This window comes from Homo sapiens, chromosome 16 (assembly GCF_000001405.40).
Source record: "Homo sapiens chromosome 16, GRCh38.p14 Primary Assembly".
In the NCBI taxonomy this organism is placed as follows: domain Eukaryota; kingdom Metazoa; phylum Chordata; class Mammalia; order Primates; family Hominidae; genus Homo; species Homo sapiens.
The window spans coordinates 52,231,853-52,256,870 of record NC_000016.10 but is presented as its reverse complement, the minus strand read 5'-3'; the positions used below and the strand labels follow the sequence as shown (position 1 = coordinate 52,256,870).

Here is a 25,018-nt window from a genome sequence, read left to right as displayed (position 1 = left end):
ATCAGAGGGCACTGTTCAAACTGAAACTAAAACGCATTACAAGAAAATTTTCATCCACATAAATATGGGACAGCTAGGAAAAAACAATCCAATCCAAACTGAGTTGGCCATTTTCTGTTCTGTAGACACAGTTAAGGGGCCTAAGAAGAAATGAACACAAATGCCTTCAATGATGGGATTCAAAGAGTGCTCCTGCTCTCAAGCCTGCTTATTACAGCTTTACATTGTTCCTTATCTGACCCAGATTTTGAGTCACTACTCTGAACTTAATTTAAGGAGTGGTTCAGGGTAATGAGTTTCCAACTCTGTGCAGAAAACAAATTTGCATTTTTCCAACTGATTAGTTTCTCTACTGATTAACTAAGCAAGGTCAACTTTTGGTCACTGATGCTGCTGATAGGCACAGCTGATATTTTCCAGTTTCGGAGTAGGGAGAACTCACTTGAAGCTCTTGTTTTCACTACTGAAGGACAAATTATGGCATTCCAGAAGCAAAGAAAATGCTGGAATGCTCACGTTTACCTGGGTGTTTATTAGCTTCCATCACTCAGGTCATTTAGGGACATAGCAAAGGAGAAGCTCCCTCCTCTCTTCTCCGTTCTTAGCTTCCACTACAGTCTTTTCATGAGAACTGCCTGAAATGACCAATGGTTGTCACCTCACAGTTTCACTGTAAACATAGTATGAAGTAGAAGATATGGGCTTTGGATACACAGAAGGAACTGGATTGAAATCCCCAATTCAATTACTTTTAAAGCTATGTGACCTTGAGTTAGTCTGTGCCTTGGTTTGCTTATCTATAAAATGAGGATAATAACAGGTTCCTTATATTATTAGGATCGAAAGAGGAAATATGCGAAAATGCCTAGCTTAGTGTTTGGAACAGAGTAAGCTACTAGTAAATGTTAATCAGCCGTCATTTTTGAAGTCCTAGGTCAGATATGATGGTCGATTAAGAAAGCAAGCTTAGCATCACTTGTATACTACTCCCATGTCTCAACTCTTTTCTCTAAATGCCCAAATCATTTCTGCCCCTGGGTCCAGTAGTTGGATAACCATGACTGTGGATTCAAGCTCTACTCAAATCTTGCATCTTCCATGAAGCCTTAGCAGATCACCAGGCCCACAGATTGTTCCCTCTTCTGAATTCCTTTCACTGTTATTCTTAAGTAATGTCTCCCTAAGTATGAGACACATATTACTGGTGGTACCATGATGACTTTGGGTGAAAGAAAAGTGATTTGAGATTTTACAGATGCATTGTAGTTCTCAGCCCCTTTAGCAGGCAAACATAGCTGAAACTTTAACATTATTTTATTTTTATTAGAGTGGTGCAAAAGTAATTGCGGTTTTTGCCATTAAAAACAATGGCAAAAACCGCAATTACTTTTGCACCAGCCTAATAGTATATTTGCTTTTATATTTTCTAATTCATGGCAAATAAGGCTGTTTCCATTTATGGTAGTTATCTAAAGTTTCCTTTGATTATGAGGTTATTTAAGGAAAAAATAAATGATTTCACTTACATAAAAACACTGAGTAAATAATAATAATTCCAGCGGCATATGAAAGTAGCAAGAGAAATGGCATCAGATTATCAAGCATGCGACTGAAATTTAAGAAATATCAGTCTGTTCCACTTATGCAGAAGTACATTCAAGTGGACTGCTGTCTTTTGAGGTTTTAAATTGATTTCTACTCCGAGTTCTGTCTTCCCCTCAAATGGATTATTAACTTCTTAGAAAAGAATGTCTAGTACTTTCTCCTTTCTATTCTGCCTAACAATTCTATGCATTCATTTACACAATAACTACTCATTACTTAATTGAAGAAAAAAGTAAATCATTTCTTGACCCAGCTTTGTAAATTGGCAGACACCCACAAAGACATAATCCGAGGAAAAATAGTTATGCTGTGAACAATTAAGAATTATCAGGAAAAGGAAAACCATGACTCACCTACTACTACTTTTCTTCCTTAGGGGTGTCTCTTAGTCCTTGCTGAAAATAGAATATTAGTATGAGTCACGAAATCATAGTAGAAGGCTAGAACATATTCCTACTGGATATTAGATTAAAAATAAGTTCGTCTTTAAGGCTCTAGCAACAGGGACTGTCTATTCTGTCAGTCAGTGATGATTGGCAGCTGCAGAGAGAATTTTGATATGGTGGCCCTTGTCAGACCCTATTCATCATAGGAATTTTTCTGTACTTTGATTCTTGGGAGTAGCTTTGGTGTCAAAGAACATGAAAGAAATTCTTCCTTAAATGTGTATTGCGCATGAGCTCTGACACCTCGGAAATGGTTCTCACACCCTTTCCAGCAAGCACTTTTATTTGATTAAAATTAAGTCTCGGTCTGCTAGGGAGAATTACTGTTCATCAGTTATTCAAAGAGAGTGCCTTATCTTAAATGATCATACTGCACTGGCAATATGGAAACTACCCAGTCACCACTAATGCAGCCAGTCACATCCATCTCTGTAAGATTCACAGAGTACCCCACTCTAAAGTTAGAAGCGCCTGCCTCTTTCCCCTTCAATTTCTTTTAAAAAATGTTTCAGTTAGATCACTGAGATTAATTCTTTAATCAAACCTGGCCTGTGAAATGGCCCTCACTTTATGAACAGACAGCTGATCAACCTTTTCGTTTTCCAACATTCAGATGTACTGAAAAGAGCAGTCATTCTTATGGTGTGGCATGTGCTTTTAGATTTAGCATTATGATTTTTTTTTCTTTCTCAAGGTGGTTAACCTCCATGTCATGTGCTGAGTAGTCTAACAGAAATAAACTTTTTTCTCTTATGATCTAGCTGCTGCTTTGAAGTGATCATTTGGTGTAGCATGGCAGGAACAAAATTAGAGTAACATTTATGGATTGCAGCAACTTATGTTTAGCCTGGAAGAATAAAACCATGCTTTAAAGAGTGAAATTTAATCATATATAAGAAATATATCTAAAACTAGATATTATATGACATTGGGTTTTCTAAATCATTGATTGTTTGCTTCTTGATGCTTCTGGGGGAAAATACCACAAAAGCCTGGATGTTTTAAGTATAATAGGACAGTGTCACAATAATGAAATTAATTTCCAGAGAGTATTAATCAGAAATCTTCTATTTGCTAATGACAGAAGCCAGCTCAAACTAGCCTATATCAAGATAATTTTTGGGGGGACTTAAATGACCTGTGAAATTTAGGGCTCTGGCTTAGGATAACTGGAGACAAGCACTGGGATTTGTCTTCTTCCTTTCCTTAAATCAGCCTCATTCTTTCCCACTGTAAGAAGTCCTTTACAAGTCAGGGAATCTATTTCAGAAGAGAGAAAGTGCCCATTCCCGAGGAAGATCCTAGGAAAGAACTGACTGTTCCTGCATGTGGCATGTGCCAATTTCTAAGGCAATCACTGTGATCATGGAGACAGGGTCACATAGATAGATGCATTTCACATTAGGAACACACGTTAAAATTCTGGGTGGGGATTAGGTAGGGGATAGCAGTAACCGAAAAAAAAGGGGTGGCACAGATAAGATCTTGAAAAGTTAGGTTGCAACCCCAATTTGTATCTACTATAATGAACTGAGAAAGGAAGATGAGAATCAGAGTGGGTAGAATGGTGGTAAACTTAAACAAATGATAGGAGGAAAAACTATCTCTTGAGACTATTAAAATTGAAAGTTAGGGTACAGGCTATATTGCTATAAAAAAGATACCCTCAGTGCAGACTAATGGATAAACATTTATTTATCTCTCACCTTACAGTTTACAATTGGGCAGGAGGTACAGATTGATTAATTTACTTTGTTCCATGAGATTAAAGGACCCAGGTTACTTCTTTGTGTTGCTCTGCCATGCCTTACGTATAGCTTCACATGATTAAATCTGGCTCACACCATCACCTTCCCACTCCAGCTCACAAGAAGGGGCCCCCTTGTAAAAAATATAATCTCAAGTTACAAACTTGGCTTCCGCCAGCATCTCATTGGTCAAACACAGTGCAATGGCCACACCTACCTACAAGCAAGGCTGGGAAAAGTAATCTTCAGGTGAGTAATCTTGCACCCAGGTAAAGCTCAGGGGATTCTGCTATTACAGATTCTGGGAAACAATTAGCATTCCACCACACCCAAAATGTGGAAGATCTCTTAAAACCATGTACCTTCACTGATAGTGAAAGGAGTGTAATCAATGTTTATGATGCTGATTAAAATACATGTAGCCAGGTGACTATAGACCTAAGCAACATGTAGAATTGGGTTTACATATCCCTATAACTTAGTGAACATCCTTGGTAGAGAAAGCACCCTTTGCTTTGCCACTGAGGTTACATTTGCTTTGCTTTTTTTCCCCCTTGAGTCTGTTAAAACAAAAGGTAGGTAGATTGGGTCTACGGTGTGATGATATTTTTCCCAATTTAAGTCTGAATAACACGGGTGAAGGGTAGAGTGAGACTTCTTCAGCTTAGAAGAAATAACATGCATTGTGGCATTTGTAATGAATCCATTTGTACCATCATCATTGTTTGTCTCCGTTGTGTGATTTTTCCTAGGCATTCTCTGGCAGTTTCCCATAGAAAATGCTGCCCCTTATAACATCTCTCCTGTCTTGGGCTAAACCAGCTTTGTCTTCCCAGGTCTCCAAGCAACAGAATCTTAAAAATGAAATATTCATTTTCTGAAACCTAATTTAATTTCAGCGATGACTGGGTTGCAGAGCTTATCAGATCACAGAATCTGAAAAATTCTCTAAATTAACAATTCTCTCCTAGTGATGGAGGTTTTTTAATTTTTTTTTTTTGCATCATGTTAAAATATACACACACAGTTTTAACCTTGGTTTGTCTGACAGTGATTTACTCATTTGTGATCTAGGGGTAATGAGAAACATTGCAGGCAATCATCTTGCTGTCAATAAATGAAATACATAGTTATTTTTCTAAAGCACAGATTAGTTTTTCTCCCAAATGTAGCTTCTACCCCGAGTGAGAAATAAACTCTTCTTTAGTTTTATTTTTGGAGCAAATTCTAAAGTATGGTAGTGAGAATTCATCTTTCATAACTTCTGGGGCTGATGAGTCATTACTGACATGTAACATCCAATTAAAGCGGTGACAAATGTAATTATGTGTCATGCACCGTGGGGGTGATAAATTGTACCACATTCTAAAGGACATGTTTTGGTAAATGCTGTTTTGCTGAAAGACTGCAATTATAGCCTGCTTTGAATGAGGTGCCTTTGTTTTAAACACAGGGTAATGGAGTTCTAAATAGAGAGATCAGGTTAACAAAAGACATTTCAGAGCAGAGTTTAACCAGGCTAACTAGCAGTTAAAGTTTTGCTATCACTATCATTTCGACCTGCAGCCAGAATTTATCTTAATTTTTTCAAAATATGGCTGTTCCTACAAAGTTTGGTCCAGATGACTTAATTTCTGTCTTAATGACATGGGATATTTTGGCAAATACTAACTGCTTGACCCTGTGGGCTCTCAAAACAAAACAGAAACTCAGAAAGCATTTAATGAAGTTGGCTTATATTCAGACAAATGGGAAGAGTTTACATCCGTTAAAATTTACCTTTATCTATAATACTTAAACAAAGAGGGTGGACAAATTTGGTTAAATTTTGAATTTATCAGATTATTTTTCATTTGTCTACATAAACTTTCCTTTGCTAGCATATGTATTTGATGACTGTTACACTGTTGTATGTATGTGTCTAGTGTAAAACTTAATAATTCTTGATCTTAATAAGGAGATTAACATAAGTGGTGATAAGTATAGTCTGTTTTTCAGGTAAGAGAAGAATTAAGGACCTTAGTTTTACATGATGATTGCTTTGTCCATTAAACTAAGTTTACCGAATTAGATAAATAGCTAAGTCAGTCTCAGCAAATTTTATTAGTGTAACAACTTTATTGTTTTACTGAGAATTGCATTGGAGAAATAGAATAATACACTTATAATAATAATGATAATAATAGACTACATTAATTGAGAATCTCTAATATGCTGAAAGTAATAATTCTAGTGTTTTTTGAATTGCATGAATAAGTATTCAATAACTGGATTCAAATTTATTTTTCTATGCAGAGATACATGGTCTCTGTGTCTAAGGAGATTGCTATATAATAGAGGAGAAATAGAATGCAATATAAGAATAATCAGTGTTTTTCCTACAAAAAAAATTTGTAACATTATTTTGATACGAGATAGATTAATTACAGCATGTAATTTACATTTATCAGTCAGATATTTATTTTAACAATATGGAGAGCATTTCCATTTTGAACTAACATGGATGGGTAGACCGATCCTCCTGCTAAAAGAAACTAGCAATGCTGAATAAAACTTAAAAAGATATCTTTTTGAAGGCATTGGTAGGAAGACTTGAGGGGTCAAGATGCTGAAGAGAATGAAAGTGCAGAGAAGTTCAATAGTCTCAGTCACTTTTTCACTCAAAGCAATCTCCAATTAAAAAGTAGTTCAAGGCAAAGAGGAGAAAAACATGTAGAAAGTAGCAGAAGGAGGATGAGAATCTAAGTAGAAACTTTTGATAATTAAGATAAAATGGAGGTATTAATAAATTATAACTTATTAAAACTGACTTAGGAAGGGAGAGAAAATCTGAATGGTCTTATATCTAGTAAAAAAAAAAAAAAAAAAAGAATCCTCAATAAAAACCTTCTCACAAAGAAATCCTGGCCTCAAATGGATTTACTATCGAATTGGTCCAAACAATTAGGGAATATACACCAGTTTTATGCAAACAGACAGAAAATTTCTTGATTCACTTAATAAAGTCACTATAACCTTGAAAGCAAAATCTGACAAAGCAGTACAATGAAGGAAACTTATAGACCAATATCTCAAAAACATAGACATAACAATTTTAATCCAAAATTCTGGCAAAAAATTTTTCAAAAGATGTGTAAAAGGAATAAAAAACTAAGTTGGTTTTATCCTAAGAATCTAAGTTGTGTGTGTGTGTATATATATATATATATATATATATTTATATATTTATATATTTATATATAAAAAACACTATAGTTATATACATATATTACTATATTTTATATAACTATAATACATATATAACTATATATAATACATATATAACTATATATAACTATAATGTATATAACTATAACAATTATATATAACTATATATGTATTTTATACATATATAACTATAATGTATGTAACTGTAATACATATATAGTTATATATGTATTATATATAACTATATGTATATATACATATATAACTATATTGTATGTAACTATAATACATACATAGTTATATATGTATCACATACATACATAGTTATATATGTATCACATACATACATAGTTATATATGTATCACATACATACATAGTTATATATGTATCACATACATACATAGTTATATATGTATCACATACATACATAGTTATATATGTATCACATACATACATAGTTATATATGTATCACATACATACATAGTTATATATGTATCACATACATACATAGTTATATATGTATCACATACATACATAGTTATATATGTATCACATACATACATAGTTATATATGTATCACATACATACATAGTTATATATGTATCACATACATACATAGTTATATATGTATCACATACACATATAACTATATTGTATATAACTATATATAACTATAACATATATAACTATAACAATATAGTTGCCTATAACAATATAGTTATCCGGATAACTATAACAATATAGTTATCCGGATAACTATTACAATATAGTTATCCGGATAACTATTACAATATAGTTATCCGGATAACTATTACAATATAGTTATCCGGATAACTATTACAATATAGTTATCCGGATAACTATTACAATATAGTTATCCGGATAACTATTACAATATAGTTATCCGGATAACTATTACAATATAGTTATCCGGATAACTATTACAATATAGTTATCCGGATAACTATTACAATATAGTTATCCGGATAACTATTACAATATAGTTCTATTATTGTATATATTATTATATAATATATAACTATTATTGTTTACACATAATATAATAGGTATAAATAATAATAGTTTTAAGAGATCCTCTTGGTATTGATTTCTATTTTTGTTGCATCATGATCAGAGAGTGTGCTTGAGTATGATTTGATTTTTTTGAATTTATTGAGACTTGCTTTATGACCGAGCATGTGGTTGATCTTAGAATATATTCTGCACACAGAGGAGAAGAATGTATATTCTATGGTGGTTAGGTGGAATATTCCATAGATGTCTATTAGGTTCAATTTGTCAAGTGTTGAGTTTAAGTCCAGAATTTCTTTATTAGTTTTCCCCCTCGATGGTCTGTCTAACTCTGTCAGTGAGGTGTTGAAGTCTGTCACTGTCACTCTGTGGCTGTCTAAGTCTTTTTGTAGGTTAAGAGCTTATTTTATGAATCTGGATGCTCCAATATTGGGTGCATATATATTCAGAATAGTTAACTCTTATTGAATTGTACTGTTTATCATTAGGCAATGTCCTTCTTTAAAGTCTGTTTATCTGATCTAAGAATAGCAACTCCAACTCTTTTTTGTTTTCTGTTTGCATGGTAAGTCTTTTTCACACCTTTACTTTGAGCTTGTGTGGGTTTTGTTATATGAGACGGTTCTTTGGAAGACAGCAGATGGTTGGCTTGTCTTTTTATCCAGCTTGCCACTCTATGTATTTTAAGTGGGGCATTTAGCCCATTTACATTCAGGGTTAATATTGATATGTAATATTTTGATACTGTCATTGTGTTGTTAGCTGGTTGTTATGTAGACTTGATTGTGTAGTTGCCTTATATGTCTGTGGGCTATGTGCTTAAGTGTGTTTTTGTGGTAGCAAGTGTCGTTCTTTCAATTCCATGTCTTGTAAGGGTGGTCTAGTGGTAACGAATTCCCTCAGTGTTTGCTTGTCTGAGAAGGATTTTATTTCTCCTTTGTTTATGAAGCTTCATTTGGTGGGATATGAAATTCCTTGGTGGAATTTATTTTCTTTAAGGATACTGAAATTAGGCGTCTAATCTCTTCTGGCTTGTAAGGTTCTGATGAGAAGTCCACTGCTAGCCTAAAAGGATTTTCTTTTTATATAACTTCTTAGCTGCCTTTAAAATTTTTTCTTTTGTGTTGACCTTGGTGAATCTGATGACCATGTGTCTTGGAGATGGTTATATTGTACAGTATCTAGCCAAGGTTCTCTGTATTTCTTGAATTTTTCTGTTAACCTCTCTAGTGAGATTAGGGAAATCTTTGTGGACTATATCTTCAAATATATTTTCCGAGGTGCTTTCTTTTCTTCTAAGGAATGCAAATGAGCCATAGGTTTTTTTCTCTTTACATAATCCCATATTTCTCAGAGGTTTTGTTAATTTCTGCAGTTTTTTAAAAAATTTTATCTGATGAGTTGATTTGAAGAACTGGTCTTTGAGTGCTGAGGTTCTTTTCTCAGCTTGGTCTATTCTTCTGTTAATATTTCTGATTGTATTATCAAATTATTGTAGTGAATTTTTCAGTTCCAGAAGCTCGGTTAGGTTATTTTTTAAAATGGTGATTTTATCATTCACCTCTTGTATTGTTTTACTGGATTTCTTGGATTCCTTGGGTTGGGTTTCAACTTTCTTCTAAATCTCAATAAGCTTCCTTGTCATCCAGATTCTGAATTCTATGTCTACCAGTTCAGTGTGGTTAAGAACCATTGCCAGGGAGCCAGTGGGTTCATTTGGAGGTAAGAGGACACTCTGGCCTTTCTAATTTCCAGAGTTCTTGCACTGATTCTTTCTTATCTGGGAAGGTTGGTGTTCTTTCAATTGTGGTGTAAGATAAGTGTACTCAGTTGGCTTAGTTTCTATATGCTTTCAGAGGGCCAAGGCTCTGTACAGGGTTTTTACATGTGGCTGGATTCTTACTCTTGGGTTCACAGGTGTTAGCAGAATATTTTTGGTGGTGTAGGCTGAACTGCTATCCAGTAGTTGGCATTTAAGAGTAATGGCTGTTTGATAGGCTCTTAGCCATGTGTCTCTTTTGTATTTCCTCATATTTGCAGATGTGCTCTACACTGGTAAGGAAGAGAGAATTGACCTCCTCACCAGGTCTGCCCCTGGACCTTGGGGGAGCCCCTCCAATCACTGGCACCACACCCATGTTTCTTATGTTAGGTGTTCTTGGCTATGGGACTCATTGGGTAGAGGCTGAAGCAGTGAGATAGGCCACACCATTTCTGGACTGGCCCTGTAAAGAAAGGCACACCCTGCTCCCACAACAGCCCACAAACCTGTATGTCTCACCCCTGTCAGTGCTCTGAGAGTTGGGGCTCTTCCCCAGTCTGAGTTCTGGCACAGATCTCAGCTTAGCACTCTCTAGTGTTGACTGGCCCATGGCTTAGTGTTGGGTTCTGGCTGTACTGGGGGATCCAAAGTTCTCCCAGGTCACTGGAAAAGTACTCAGGTGGAGCAAAGCACCCAGGTTGGGAAGCAGAGACTGTACTGGGCACATGCTCCTGCCGGACAGCCAGGCAGAAGCATAGCAAGGGGCTGGTGAGCAGCCTGCAGAACACACACACCCCATTCCCATGGAGAAGCTAGTTCTCTTCTCTCCTGGCCCAGCAGTCAGCTAGGGCTAGAGCTTCTCAGAGGGAGATGGGGAGCCCTGGGGGATGGGTGCCTATGGTTCCACTCCACCGGAGCTGCTCCACAGACAAAAGCCCCTGGACTCTGCACTGGCTGAAGGCCTGTCTCTGCTTACTCTCTCAGCAGATCCCCTTTCTAGCTCAAATGTTTATGGGGGTCACAGGAACCTCTGTATCTAGGATCCCGGAGATTAGTGGTGAGAGTGGCCTGCGCCTCAGTCCCTTCACTCAACCCTTCCCCAGGAGCCTTTTGCTAGGACCTTGCCCTGGAATTTGAGTACACCATGCAGGGTTCCAAGCTTCGCCCTGTTTCAGCCTCTGAGTCCGTGTCACCTCTCCATCCACTCTCGGTGTTTTCTCTCTGATGACCTGCTCAAATTACATTGGTTTACCTGATATTTTGGTCCCTTCCATGGGAGCAGTGTTTCCTGGTTTGTCTAGTCACCCATCTTGTCCCCCATCTCTCCAGTTGAGCTTTTTAAAATTACTATAATTTGCCATGTGAATAGAATAAAAGATAATAATCTGAATATATTATATAATTATCTCAATAGATAAGATACATTTAATTAAATTCAATATTTGTTCCTTAAAAGCTAGAAAGAGAAGGGAAATTAATACCTAATAAAAGGTATGGATAAAAATGCCTATAGCAAATATGATATTTATTAGTAAAATGTAAAAGGTTTCCTCCTTGAAACTAGGAATGAAACAAAAATGTTGACTATCATTACTTGTATTTGTCACCATATCAGAGGCTCATTGCAGTAAGAGGAGAGAAATAAGTATTTGGGTTGAAGTAAAAATAAAAGTGCCAACTTAATCTTCTTTGTTCTGTTGGTATAGTAAATTACACCACACTTTAAAAGGGGTTAAAATCTGAGGGCTCTCTGCAGGCAGCACTCCCAGCATTTTACAGCTGTCTCAGTTAAGGGAGTCACCTTGCTCTAGGCCATACTCCCTTTTCAGAGCAGCCTTATTCAATAACTGATGGATGTGCACGTGCAAAATCCCAGCTCTGTCACTTGAATTTGAGGGTTGTAGCTGTACAGTTCCATATACAGTTGACTGAGGACTTTGTTGAGACTATATTACAGTCCAACTTTTCCTGTTCAGTACCACTTTATTCACATCCCTTCCATAAGTGTTGATTCCAAAAGCTTCCTGTACACTAGTCTCCATTTCAAATTCTGCTTTCTGGGGAATAAGATCTGCAACAGTTGGTATTAGAAGTAGTTGGAGAAAGCAGATGCTGAGATGGGATTTTGGAGCTGGATCACTTGCTGCTGTCCAAGTGGCAAGGAGGACTCGTTGGTGGTAAGAATACAGATAGTTCCTGGCATGAGGTGGCAATGCAATTATTAGAGTTTTTACTGCTGGTTAACTAGGATAGCATACTAGCAGAAGGGAATTCACAAGCTGGTGCAATAGCAGGCATTTGAGAAACAATGTGGTAACCATAAAAAAGGGACAGTCATCTCAGATAGCTATTACTAAGCTCCACTGATGCTGCGGAAAAACATCATGAATGACTGACAGTAATTAATTGCCAGTGAAAAGATAAAGAGGAAATGCAGAGGTCCTGCTTGATAGCAAATAAAGACACTTACATTTCATACAGCATAAGGGCAGAGATAGCTGAGGACCAGGCCCAAAATTTCATCATATGAGTGACATTGGAAATTAAACTCTAAACCTAGGCACATCTATTATGTCTTTGATTAGGAAAGAGGAGAATTAAAGCAGACTAAAACCTTACATATCAAGGTCGCCCTGAGCCTCTGAACATATAGAAATGGTGCACAACTGCCTTAATGGCCTACCACATTCCCTTATTTGAAGACTGCAGACATCTCTCCCCTGCAAGACACATGCCAACCACTCCTTCAGGATATGCCCCCATTTTCATCATGGCCAATAAGACTATAAATAACAAGGGTCAAGTCCAAAATAACCTGGGCAGGGATATAGTGGGCCTGATAAGGGAGAAAAGGGTCTAGACTTAAAGGAGATGTAAGACCTAGGTAACATGTATGAATAGAAACTAGAAAATGTTTATGGGACTGTAGTCTGAAGGTGCTTGATCTAGGGAGAGAATAGAACATTCAGTAAGACACAATTCATTGATTGGGAAACACTCTGTCAAATGCAGAGTTTAACATCCTGGCAAGGACTCTGGAAGATGGCACAAATACACTGTTAGAGTGGCTTCTACACAGATGAAAATAGTGATGGCCTACACCAAATGAAGTAGAAATGCTAGGAAAACCAGAAATGGCAGTAAAGAACCACCATGCCAGTCAGTGGGAGGAAAGAACAAAAGGATTAGAGAATTGGGTGTATTAGGTGGATATACGATGCAAGTCCAATAAAACATCATATGTCTATGGTCCTGAGGCAAGGCCTGCTGGATACACCACTTACCAAACGAGGCAGATTACCACATGCACTACAGTCCACCTCGTGTACCACTCCAATTCACCTCTTCATGGAGCTTCTGGGAACAGCCACCCCCACGCCAGAACTCCAATGGGCTTCTTTTCCCAAGGGAAATTCAGATGAAGGCTAATGGTATGATCTTCAGCTCCTGCCACTTGCAGCTGGTCTCAGAGCTATAACTAATAGTCACCATTTCCCTCTTCTCTGCCATTTTGGATTCTCCTCACTGTTACCTAGCACCTCTGCTGACCTCGGTGGCTTACCTGATGCTGTGATCCAGATCCTTATTTCTGAGCAGTACGAGCTCCTGTTCACTATGCCCTTCCCAAGCCATGGCTGCTGTACTTGTGTATTTACAGATATCATCTGTCAAGCAAGACCAACAGGTATCCAAGTGGATCATCTGGACACCAAACCTATTCCTCCCTGCTGTCACTGTGTATCCACAGCTCTACCACTTCATGAGATTTGGGTAGTTAATGATCTCTTCAAAGGTTTTGTAAAACACTAACTCAAAGGGAAAAACATATATATATATATATATATATATATATGCATGTATACAGAAAAAAATGAAACATTGAATTAACTTAAGAATTTTTGTAGATCAAAAGCCAAATTTAAGGAAGTAAAAAAGCAGAGTGGGATAATTCATTTTCAAGACATATATCTAATAAATATTTGTGATATATAAAGAAATTCCACAAATTACATGGAAAGGAAAAAGTAACCCAATAAAAAATAGGTGAAAGACAGTCTTTTCAGAAAGAGGATATCTAAATGACCAATGAACATATGAAAAGCAATATCTTATTAATAATAAAGGAAATGAAAATTAAAGTCATAGTGGATATTATTGTGATTCTACTAGAAAAGCTAAATTGCAGAAGACAGAGAACATCAAGTGTTGGTGAAGATATGGAGTGACTGAATTTTACTAACTTCTGGTTTAGAAGTAAAAGTTAGTTCAACCACTTTAGCAGCATCTACTAACGCTGGAAATACAAACACCCTATATAAGCAAATGTATACATACAAATACCAAAGCCTTGTACAAAGACCTTCATAATAGCAGTATTTTTAATAGTCAAAAACTAAAAATAACTCAAATGCCCATTAACAATAGAATAGAGAAATAAATTATAGTACACTCAATAAGAGACTACCAAATAACACCTTAATTCCATTCATATACATTTAAAAACCAGGTAAACCTCATGTGTGGTGATAAAAAGGGGAGTTAGTCACTGAAAAGAAGGACAAGGGGCATTTTTGAGGATAGTCGTGGCCAGTGATACACAGTTTCTTAATTTAAGTACATACACAGGTGTCTTCACTGAGAAAAAAATTCATTGAGCTGTAAACTTATGATTGTGTACTTTCCTATAGGTATATTATAGTTTAGTTAAAATGTTGAAAAATAAAGTGAGGCAACCAGTAGAGTCTAGAATCTAGCAACTTCTACTTAAGGGGAAAAATAAAACACTTGTACTTGTGACGAAATCTTTTAGTTTGAGTGGCTTTGTGTGTTGCCTTTGTTCCATCAACACACCAAGCTTGTTACCTCACTCACAGGCCCAGGTATTCTCTAGCCTGTCAACCTGGTTTTCCTCATGGTAGTAATTGCTGTTTGAAATTGTTTGCTTGTTCTAATGTAACGTCAGCTGAGTGACAGCATAAATCTTGTCTCTTGTTTACAGCTGTATCCCTTGCACCTAGATCAGTGCCTGACACACAATTGGAGCTCAATAAATTTTGCTGAATGAATGAGAGAGAAAAAGATATCAAGAATATGCATGATAAAAAGACAAAGGCCATTGCTTGAGCAGAAGTTAAACGTATTCCAACACTGGATTTATTCAGTGATATTTACATTTCATAGCTATGCACAGGATCTATTAATCTCAAAATTAGTGAAGACAATATAACAACTTTTGTTACTGTGAATCTGTAGATCTCTGTCTCCTCATTCCCATTTCATCCTTCAAAATAACAATTTTAAAGACAATATTCTTTATAATAATAATTATAAAGATTTATGAGGGATGCAACTACACATTAACACAAGAAAGACTAAATATAATAAAGTAGCAAAGTGGAAGGACTAGATTATAAGCACTACAAAAGTTTTGAAATGGAAGAGGTCTTCTGTAACTGAAGCAACCAGGACACTTTACTGAAGATGGAGTTTGAGCTTCTGTGAAGGATGAATAGGACGGGGGAGGGACAGAGTGTACAGGGAGAGGAAGCAACATAGGAACATGGACGCCTGTGTCCATGTTGCTCTGGCTGGGGTTCAGGGCAAAGTGATAGGATGGGGATCAGTCATGGAAGCTTGGAGGAAGAAGGAGGAGGAAGTGTATTTCAAGAGCCCAGTATAAATGTTTAAGCATCTGGGGAAGCATCTAGTTCAAGTTCATTGCTTACTACTTCTGTTCTCAGAACTACATTCATTATTATTGGTGATTATAAAGAACCTTGGCCTTATCTTTCCTAATGGGCCAACCACAGGATTCGGTTGTGTGATGACGATATTGTTAGGGGTGTGGTGCGTGTGTCTGTATGTATCTGTGTATGTGTATGTGTATGTATATGTATGTATACACACATCACAGTAGGGTTTATTCACTTTTCCAAATCACTAAAATTGTTCCTTTTACAAATAGCTGTGCAAAGCTTTCTATGCTCATTAAATAAAAATTGAGGTCCATTGTGGACTAGCAACTGGGGACAGAAAGATGAAAAAGAAACAGTTTTAGCTTTTAAGGAGCTATCTAATAGGAGAGAAATATCTACATAGACAATTACCATTCAATGGGATATGTATGGTATCAGAATTATATTTAAGTTACAATAGAAACAGACAGAGATGGTAATCAAAATTGTTTGGTGCAGGAGATACTCAGGCACGAGAAAAGATAATTTGACATGACTGACCATTTGGTTCTCCCATAACATACTGATTTGGCTGTTTTGAGTGAGTGATGTTGTCATTGCCAATCCTGAACTAATCAAAATAGAAAAATGAGGAATGAGCAGGAGACACAGATAACAGTGTACAGGTTGAATCCAGCTGGAATAAAATGACTGATGTGGCCTATACAGTTAGAAAGAGAGACAGTAAAAAAAGATTAGTTACAATGTAAAGATAGAGATATTAAATTGGGATCTTGATTAAAAGCTTCTCTTGAGAAAGTGAAAGATCTGGCAACACCTGGACCTTGTTTTTTCATGGCAATAAGTGGCTTGTGTTCTCTGGTTTGCCATAGTCCCTATACATCCCTTGCTATGAAACTACTCTTCCCTCCTTGTCACTGTGTGCATTTGAACTTGATCCTTAGTTAATGGGATGGCAGGGTCAAAGAACAGCTGAGGGTGGCTGTAGCACACGATACTGGATAATAAAAATTGGTGCTTTTGGGTTATATGAAAATGTTATGTACCTGTCTTAGTTCATTTTCTCTTTTTATAACTGAATACCCCCAAACTGGGTAATTTATAAAAAATAGAAATTTGTTTGACTCACATTTCTGGAGGTTGGGAAGTCCAAAAGCATGGCACTGTCATCTGGTGAGGGTCTTCCCATGGCACAAGGCAGAAAGTGGAAGTCAGCACATGAAAAAGAGAGAGAAAATCAGGCCAAACTCATCCTTTTATGAACTCCCATGATAACTAACCCACTCTCCTGATAATGGCATTAATCCATCTGTGAGTGTAGGGCTCTCATTGCCTAATCACCTCTTGAAGGCCCCACCTCTTAATACTGTTAAAAGGGCAATTAAGTTTCCAACACATAAACTTTGAGGGACATATTCAAACTATAGCAGCACCCATCAGGGAAGGCCATTAACTTGCAGTCATATGCCAAAGCATTCGAAAAGTCTGCCATGAAACTGTGCATTCACTGACTAATTAAGATATCACCTTAAAGAGTGGAATCATTAACAGCATTTGTGTCCTTAACATACTTCATTATTCCAGGGTGGCTGTGAGGATTAAAATATGATAACAAACATAAAAGTGTTCTGTAAAATGGATGTGGTTTACAAATACAAGAGAGGATGTAAAGAACAAAAAAAGAATGCAATAAACTTTCATGATGAGTACATTTCAGAATAAATCTGACCATGTGAAAGTAATGGAAAAGAGTGGCATCTGAGGGGGTCCTTTAAATCTTAGTAAGTCATATAAAAATTGTTGTACTGGGTAGACTGGGGTAGGGGTGGGGGTAGAGACTGTGTTTTAGTACCACTTGGCTGTGTTCTAGTACTGCCTTCAATATCAACAGATGGTTACTGTGTGTGAATATAATAGTAACCCACACTGGTGATGACCCCAAGACACATCCCAGGCATTCTTAACTTTCTGCTTGCAAACCTATTACAGGCCCACTCTTCATGAATTTAAGCCTTTCCTGAGCCTGTTAAACAGTAAAGAAAATAACACCTTAAAAAAAAACAGGAAAGCTAGTATGCATAAGCAGACTAGTGAATCAAAGCAGATTAGAAACCCAGCAGTGAATGCATCTTTTCTTGACATTTAATCCAGCAAGTGGAGATGGTCGGCAGTTAATATGCAGGGTGGTTATTTTCACTTCCTCATTAGAAACTTGGCTTCTTGAATGGCAACTCTTTTATTGTAATTAGTAAAAGAACCCATACAAACATTGAATGGGGGTCTCCTTCCAATCAGAAAAAAAAAAAAAGGAATCCCCCTTTCTCTGGAGAAAGGGGACAGAAATGAAACTGGTGGACAGAGAGAGTAAGGGCAGGAGAATAATTTCCTCCTCTGAGCACATTTCCCAAAAGTTCCACCTTTTCCGCAATTTCTTTTGTAAGCTTATATGATGACATCATGGCTGTTGAAAGCAGTGTAAAAGCATATTAGAGGAAGCAGTGTGAAAACAAAACAGTGAGAAGATAAAGCGTGGTGCCTTTTAATTTACTTATTTTCTCATCATTCAAAAGAGCAACCCCCCATTCTCTTCCCAAGTGCCCCTAGCATAATTCCCCTAATCTTAGAATCTGCCCTGGAGTGGGGAAAATTAGTATGTCTAACCAGGATGAGGATTCTCAGGAGTTTGGTAATTTCTCCCCCTTCTGTGAGCAAGTTTGCTAAAGAATACAGGCAGATGCCCTAGGATGGTAGTTCTCAGTCATGGCTGAACAGAATCACTTGGGGAAGCTTTTAAAAAATATCCGCACCTAACCTCTTCCCATCCCCTCTCCAACAGTTAAATAAATCTCTGGGGGTGGAATTCAGGCACAGAGATGTTTGAAAAGCTCCTCGGGTAATTTTAATGTGCAACGAATGTGAGAACCACAGCCTTCGAGATTTAGGTCAGTTTCTGACGCCCTGTGTGCCACAGCAGGGGCTTTCAGGTTGTCCATGTCGGCTCAACGGTCAGCAACAGTCTTCAGAAAGACACCTAGGGAGAAAACGCCTGTCATGTTGCTTTCCCTATAAGCCCCATCCCACTGCTCCATGGCCTCCTCCTTTCTCCATTCTACGGAACGTCTGCCATTTTACTGAGCCAACATCCAGTCATGCTACTTCTAGTAACAGCACCTCCGCTTTCCCCTGCATAACCAGCTCGCCTGCTGTCTCCAACTCTGAGCCCTGAAGGTCACATGCTTGTGGCACCACCCATGGGGCCTGAAATACCCTGGAACCACCCCGCCGCCCTCCCCAACATGGCCAATCAGAATATCAGCTCCTCTCGCCCAGCGTCATTGGGTCAGGAATAGCACGTGACTGGATCCCAACCAATGAGGGGCAAGTTTCTCTGGAGCCTTGAGAGCTGCACAGGTGCTTTAGTGAGCTGGAGGTGCTGCCCTTCTTCTGGTCACCATGGAGCACTAGACAGCCTTGTGCAACGAGGATCTGCTGGGAGAGAGAAGGCAGCCTGAAGACGCCCAGGGCCCTGGACCCTGGAAATGCCCAGGGCCCTGGAGGTGCCGTGTTGTGTTCAGAGTTGGAGCCACCCCCAGCAATTCCTGGTTTTGCAAGCTCTTGGCCTTCCTGCCTGAGCCAAGTGGTGTTGGCCTTTCTGTCATTTGCAGTTGCCCGTTCTGTCCTTTGGGAAGTGTCAGGAAGGCCCCTGTGCAGGCAACTGAGGCTGCACCAAAAGAAGATGCCCAGAGGTTCTCTCTGTTGGAAGACCCTGTCAGGCATAGCTGGCTCAAATGCATGCAGAGTGGACTGTGGGCCGCGGTCTCAATTTCAGCCCCCGTTCCTTCTCTGGGTGCTCTTGTGCAGTGGGCAGCGTGGACAACCGTCTCAAAGGCTGCCCCAGTGAGGTATGCTTGGCTTTAGGCAGAAGCCTCTTGCTGGGATCCCACTGGAGAGCCATAGAAGTGCCCCAAAACAGGCCACCTTGATTTCATTTCCCCACTGACTCAGTTAGCACCAATTCAAGCTCACACCCTTCTCTCATGATACAGCATCACAAAAGGCAACCCGCCAGGAGTATTTAGTTACTGAGTCTCCATTTGACATTCTGATTTGAATAAAATATATGTATTATTATACATATACTGTGTAAGCCTTTGGCAGCTATTAACAGCTAACATTTATTGAGGACTTTTTATGAACCAGACTCTCTCTCTCTCTCTCTCTCTATATATATATATATATATGTGTGTGTGTGTGTGTGTGTGTGTGTTTGTGCGTGTGTATATACATAATGTGTGTATATATAAATATATGTGGGTGTGTGTATCTCAGACTATATATAATACTTTCATTTAATTCTCATAACAACTGTAGGAGTCTTATTACTGTTATTTTTGTGACTTTTATAGACATAAAGCCAAGGCACAGAAGATTTAAGTAATTTGCTGACGGTCACACAGCCATAAGGTTGCAAACATGGAATTCCAACCCCAGAATGTGTATTCCAGAGCCTGGGTTCTTAAGCAGAATGCTTTACCCCAGTTTCTACTAGGCCACATGCTCAATCCAGAACAAATCGCCATTTATGGCAGAAAACAAGAAAAGGTTGCAGGATCCAGGATTATACGCAGATGCCTTTGGCAAGCTGGTCATTTATTCAGGTGCCTTATAGTCACCTCTCTCCCTCTCCTGAATGGAATGTTTGCTCTGCTAGATGTGGGCTAGGCTATATAAATACATGTTAATTTGTAGGGGCTTTTCTGGGGCGGTGGGGGTGGGTGAGGAGCAAAGTAACTCAAAAATCAAACTGGCGTGACCATATTCCATGTCCAGATACAGTACCTGATCAGTAAACCATAAAGGATACTTTCTTGACAAAACGAGATATTTAGCAACATTTTCCCTTTTCAATTTAATATGCAAGTAGCATTCGATTCCCGGGGCATTTTTATTTCTAACTAGAGCTCTGAAATGCAACCTAATTAGCAGCAATGCCTCCAAAGTCGAGCTTTGCTCTCCCAGGGAATGGGGGCCATTAGAAAACACTTCCTATCTGTTGTCCCCCACTTGCCATACACTGATTGCAGTTTGTTCACCTTGTCCCTCTTTGTCCCAAATAGCTCAGTGGTGCAAAAAATATAATTTAACTTCTTGCCACATCTTGCATTTTGTTCCTTTTTTCTTCTTCTTGGTAAGGTTGAAAAACAAAGCATTTCAACCTGGTTATTCTCCCTGTGATTGGAGGCCAGCCCTGAGATTTCAAAGAAACCTCCTTTGTTCAAGATTTGAGAAAACAATCACTGCACAGCAAACACTGATATGACTTTTAATGGCCATTTACCTGATTAATATCCTTTCATGCTATGAGGCAGCATGAGACACCGTGCTTTAATGAAAGCCAACAACAAAGAGTGGACCAGGTGTGTTACTAAGAAACAATCTCCTGTGATTTAATTAGTCAAAGCATTGCATGGAGCAATTATAAGCAACCTTGCAGAAGTGGCAGTGGTATGGAGGAGCCCTCTGCTATAAATTGGTTTTTAAAAGAAAGACATCATGATTTAATAACTGTGCATCTCTAGTGAAAGAAGAAACCCCTCTTTAATTGGGAGCAAGAAGAAAAAAAAATAACACGCTAATCACGATGTTTAGATCTTCCTCCACCTTCTCTAATCTCTAATTGGGTACAAAAAAAGCTTTCAACAGTTTCTAGTAGGAGTTGAAAATGATTTTCTCTGTTATGTTTCTTTTTTTCTTCAGTTCCTTGAGCTACTTACTTAGTATTATCTTTGAAACTGGTACCCCAATTGGCATTGCAATTTTGGAGAAAACCTGGAATAACCCCATCTGATCAGGCTGAATGCAGGACATCTGCAATTTTAAGAGTTACCTTTATTGCATTGTTACATATAAAAGAAATGGGAGTTGTGATGGTTTGATGGGGCCTTTTTTTTTAATCCTCATGCCTTGGTTTAATGATGTGTCAACCTGCCACAGAAAGATTGACTGGCATAATGCTTATTACTTAAGATAAAGATAGATTTCTTGTGTGATGTGGGAGCTTTACAATAGATAGGGTCTTATCAGGGAAAGTCTGCCCAACCCAGGTAGGATTTGTGACTGACTTCTACATTTCAGTTCTCTATGCTTCTACTTAAATTAAGGAGACAAGCATTCAATGTAGAGAGAAATACAGATTTGAGAACCAAAATTGAAACTTCTCTTCCATATCCAGCTCTTGTGTTGATGTCTGGGGTCAGTTTGTGTACACTGAGGACCTGAAATTCCTTGAGTACAGGAAGTTGAACATTACCTAGTCCCAGAGAGTCCTTTATCTCTGAGGTCACTGGGCAATGCTGGGATGGAAGCGCTTTGCAGCCCTTTACTCTGTACAGATCTCCTAATGTAGAAGATGTTATTTTGGATTGAGACTCTCCATCTGGCTTTGGGGTTTTGCTACTTCAGGCCAGTGATGAGTTAGAGAGAGACAAGGTATTGGCAATAGTACTTGTCAGCCTCAGGAGTTTGTGAAGCATGTCCTGCTGGAGGCTGTTTTTGTAAAGAATGTGTTATTGGAACACAGTCACACCCATTCATTTCCCTGTTTTTAGTATTGTGTTACAATGGCAGAGTTGAGTGATTTTCACAGGGACCATCTGGCCCACAAAACCTAAGATATTTACTAGTTGGACCCTTGTGAAAAAGTTTACCGATCCCTATAAGTTGTCAGAGATGATTTCTGATGAACAATTTTTGCTTTTGCAGCTTGTTAGGTGGGAATGACCGAAGAGGGGCCCTCTTTCCCTATTTCTCATTGCCCAAGTGTCTTAGGCTGAGAATGAAGATTGGATTGGGATTTGAACAATAGGGGCTTAATCTACCTCCACACATGGAGAGGCCATTTCAAGGTTGGAGGTGGGGTTCTGATGTACTTTTGAGTCCAGATGGAGGTGTTGAGCTTTTGGAAAATTATGGATTTGTGGAATGAATCAGTAGATTGCAGTCTCTGGACTACAAAGCCATGAACTCTCAAGTCTTTTGGTGGATGAAATACATACGTCTGGCATGTACAATCTTTTCTATATATAATTTTTAATTTTAAAAGAAATATATGAATTCATTTGCTAAGAATATTTGAACAGTAAAGATAAGGCTAATGACCACGGATAATATTCAAAATACCTAACAACAGTTCCACATGTGATATGGCCAATCGGGTGGACGCCAGCCATAAAGGATGAGTGCTGCCTAATGGCCTGTCCCAGTGCTGTGTGTTCTCAGCTAATGGCCCTTTGGACTATTTATCCCTGACTCCCTTCCATTTCGTTCCCTTCCCCGTTGTTCTTGGTTTGGTATATAACTCTCAAGAGAGTGTTGTATGCTTGTGTGTAGGTGCCCAATGAATTTGGAGTATTTTGGGGATGGTTTTCATATCATTGCTTTTATAGTGTAAGTGGTTATTTCTAAAGTTGTTTCTTTTTAGTAGATCTTTTAGCGCTGATACAGATAGAGCTACCTCATTCCTTTTAGATGCTGCATGATACAGTGAAGTATAGGTGTTCTTAAACACCTACAAGAGAAGTTGTTAAAATGAATGCAGATGTTGTTATTAATAAAACACTAGTTCATTTAAAGTGCCACTAAATTCAGTACGTATTTTAGCATATGGAAGTAAAAATATAGCAGCTATCTGGGGGCCTGAGAAATACTTCCTATTAAAAAGAACTACAGAAAACAACAACAACAGGGTGTATATTTACATATTTTTATGATTAGACATTAATAATACTTTAGGAAGATTCAGAAATAAAATCTGGAAACTAATAAAGTCATCGCCTTTATGGAATGAACTAGAGATGAGGATAAGTAGGAGAAAATTTGGGGGTAGATTTAGAATTTAGAATCATGGAACTATATTATTTGTTTAAAATAATTATCAAAGCAGAAGGAATGGTCTTGGTGGTTGATGTTGGGATTTCCTGGTCAGGTCTGTGACCCTGAACAATTGTTCTCCTATCAGACCAAATAATTGAGTACTTACGTTACTATCAACAACCTCAAGGGAGGACTGGGGCTTTTCTGAAATAAACTGCAGATTGAAAATCTTTTCTTGAAAAAACTGAACATAAAATATAGATCCACTACATTAAAATCATTTCATTGAAACTTAAACAAATAATTCCAAGGGAGCACAGCCCAGCAAATAGCAGCTGCTGCTCCTTCGGTCTCTCCCCTTCCCAGCCTGTGTTTGACCTGTGAGTCCCAGAGGTCATCTGCTCAGACCCACCTCCCCTAACCCTTTTGGCCTGTGAGTGGCACGGGATGGGGGAGAAGTTGCTCTGAGAGGCAATGGGCCCAGATGCCAAGGCTAGGACCTGAGGCCCCAGCCCCCACCCACTTCTAAACAGTAGGATTGAGGAAGAAGGAATTTCTGTCTCTTCCTTTATCTCTAGTGCCTATAAAGGAGCCAGGAAATCCTCCAAGCTAGGATGGGAGAAGAAGATTTTTGAATGCATTTTCTTATCAAAGGGAATCTGTCCATACTAGCAGCTAGACTTCTTCCTTTATTATCTTGTATAATGATGACACATATTTATTGAGCCCTTACTATGTGCCAGGGAGTTTACTGAATGTAGACTTTTGAATTATCATTGAGGTATATACTGGCACTATACCCACTTTGCAGGTGAGGAAGATCAAGTGGTTAAAAAATGGATCACCCTGCTACTGGTGGTCAAGTTAAGATCTGAAATCCAGAGCTAGTGTTCTAACCACACTGTAATCATGCCTTTCCTTGTATCCCAAAAGGTGACCTTCACATTTAGATGCTAGAATGATATAGTTAGGCTTTTTGCCCCCACCCAAATCTCATTTTGAATTGTAATCACCACGTCTCAAAGGTGGGAGGTGATTGGATCATAGGAACAGTTTCCCCCATGCTGTTCTCCAGATAATGGGTGAGTTCTCATGAGATCTGATGGTTTTATAAGACAGTTTTCCCTACTCTTGCTTGCTCTTCCCTCTCCTGCTGTCATGTGAAGAAGGTCCTTTCTTCCTCTCCCCCTTTTGCTATAATTGTAAGTTTCCTGAGGCCTCCCAAGCCTTGTGGAACTGTGAGTCAGTTAAAATTCTTTCGTTTATAAATCACCCAATCTCCAGTAGTGTCTCTATAGCAGTGTGAGAATGGACTAATACACAGAATGATTATTTCTATTTGCCTAATAATGGATGAGATGCCCCAGAAATCCTGCAATGGAAGCTGCCAAATGTAAATCTTAACCTCTGAAATGATTGGTTTAAAATAATAATAACCATTCCATCTCGACTAAAAAATGTATACAGGGTCTTCTCTGTGCCAGGAACTGAAAAGGATAAAGAAGTATAATAACATCTAGTATGTATTGAACACTTACTTTGTGCCAGATGCTGTTCTAAGAGCTGTACTTATTGCATTTATCCACAATAAGCCTATAGGAAGGGATCTATTATTTCTCCCATTGTACCAATGAGGAAACTGAGGCCT

General features: G+C 38.2%; 1 long non-coding RNA gene across 2 annotated transcripts in view; it reads right to left on the bottom strand.

The window, feature by feature from the left end:
* Positions 1-17,191, bottom strand: part of LOC105371261 (uncharacterized) — a 29,761-nt gene extending 12,570 nt beyond the window's left edge. The window contains exons 1-3 of one of the 2 annotated variants that reach the window (XR_933564.1): positions 16,628-17,191; positions 13,365-13,467; positions 1,959-2,000 (exon numbers count right to left, since the gene is read on the bottom strand). This is a non-coding gene — a long non-coding RNA (uncharacterized LOC105371261). The remainder of the gene's footprint in view (positions 1-1,958; positions 2,001-13,364; positions 13,468-16,627) is intronic. The other variant, XR_007065213.1, reaches the window with a different exon arrangement.
* Positions 17,192-25,018: the final 7,827 nt, after the last annotated feature.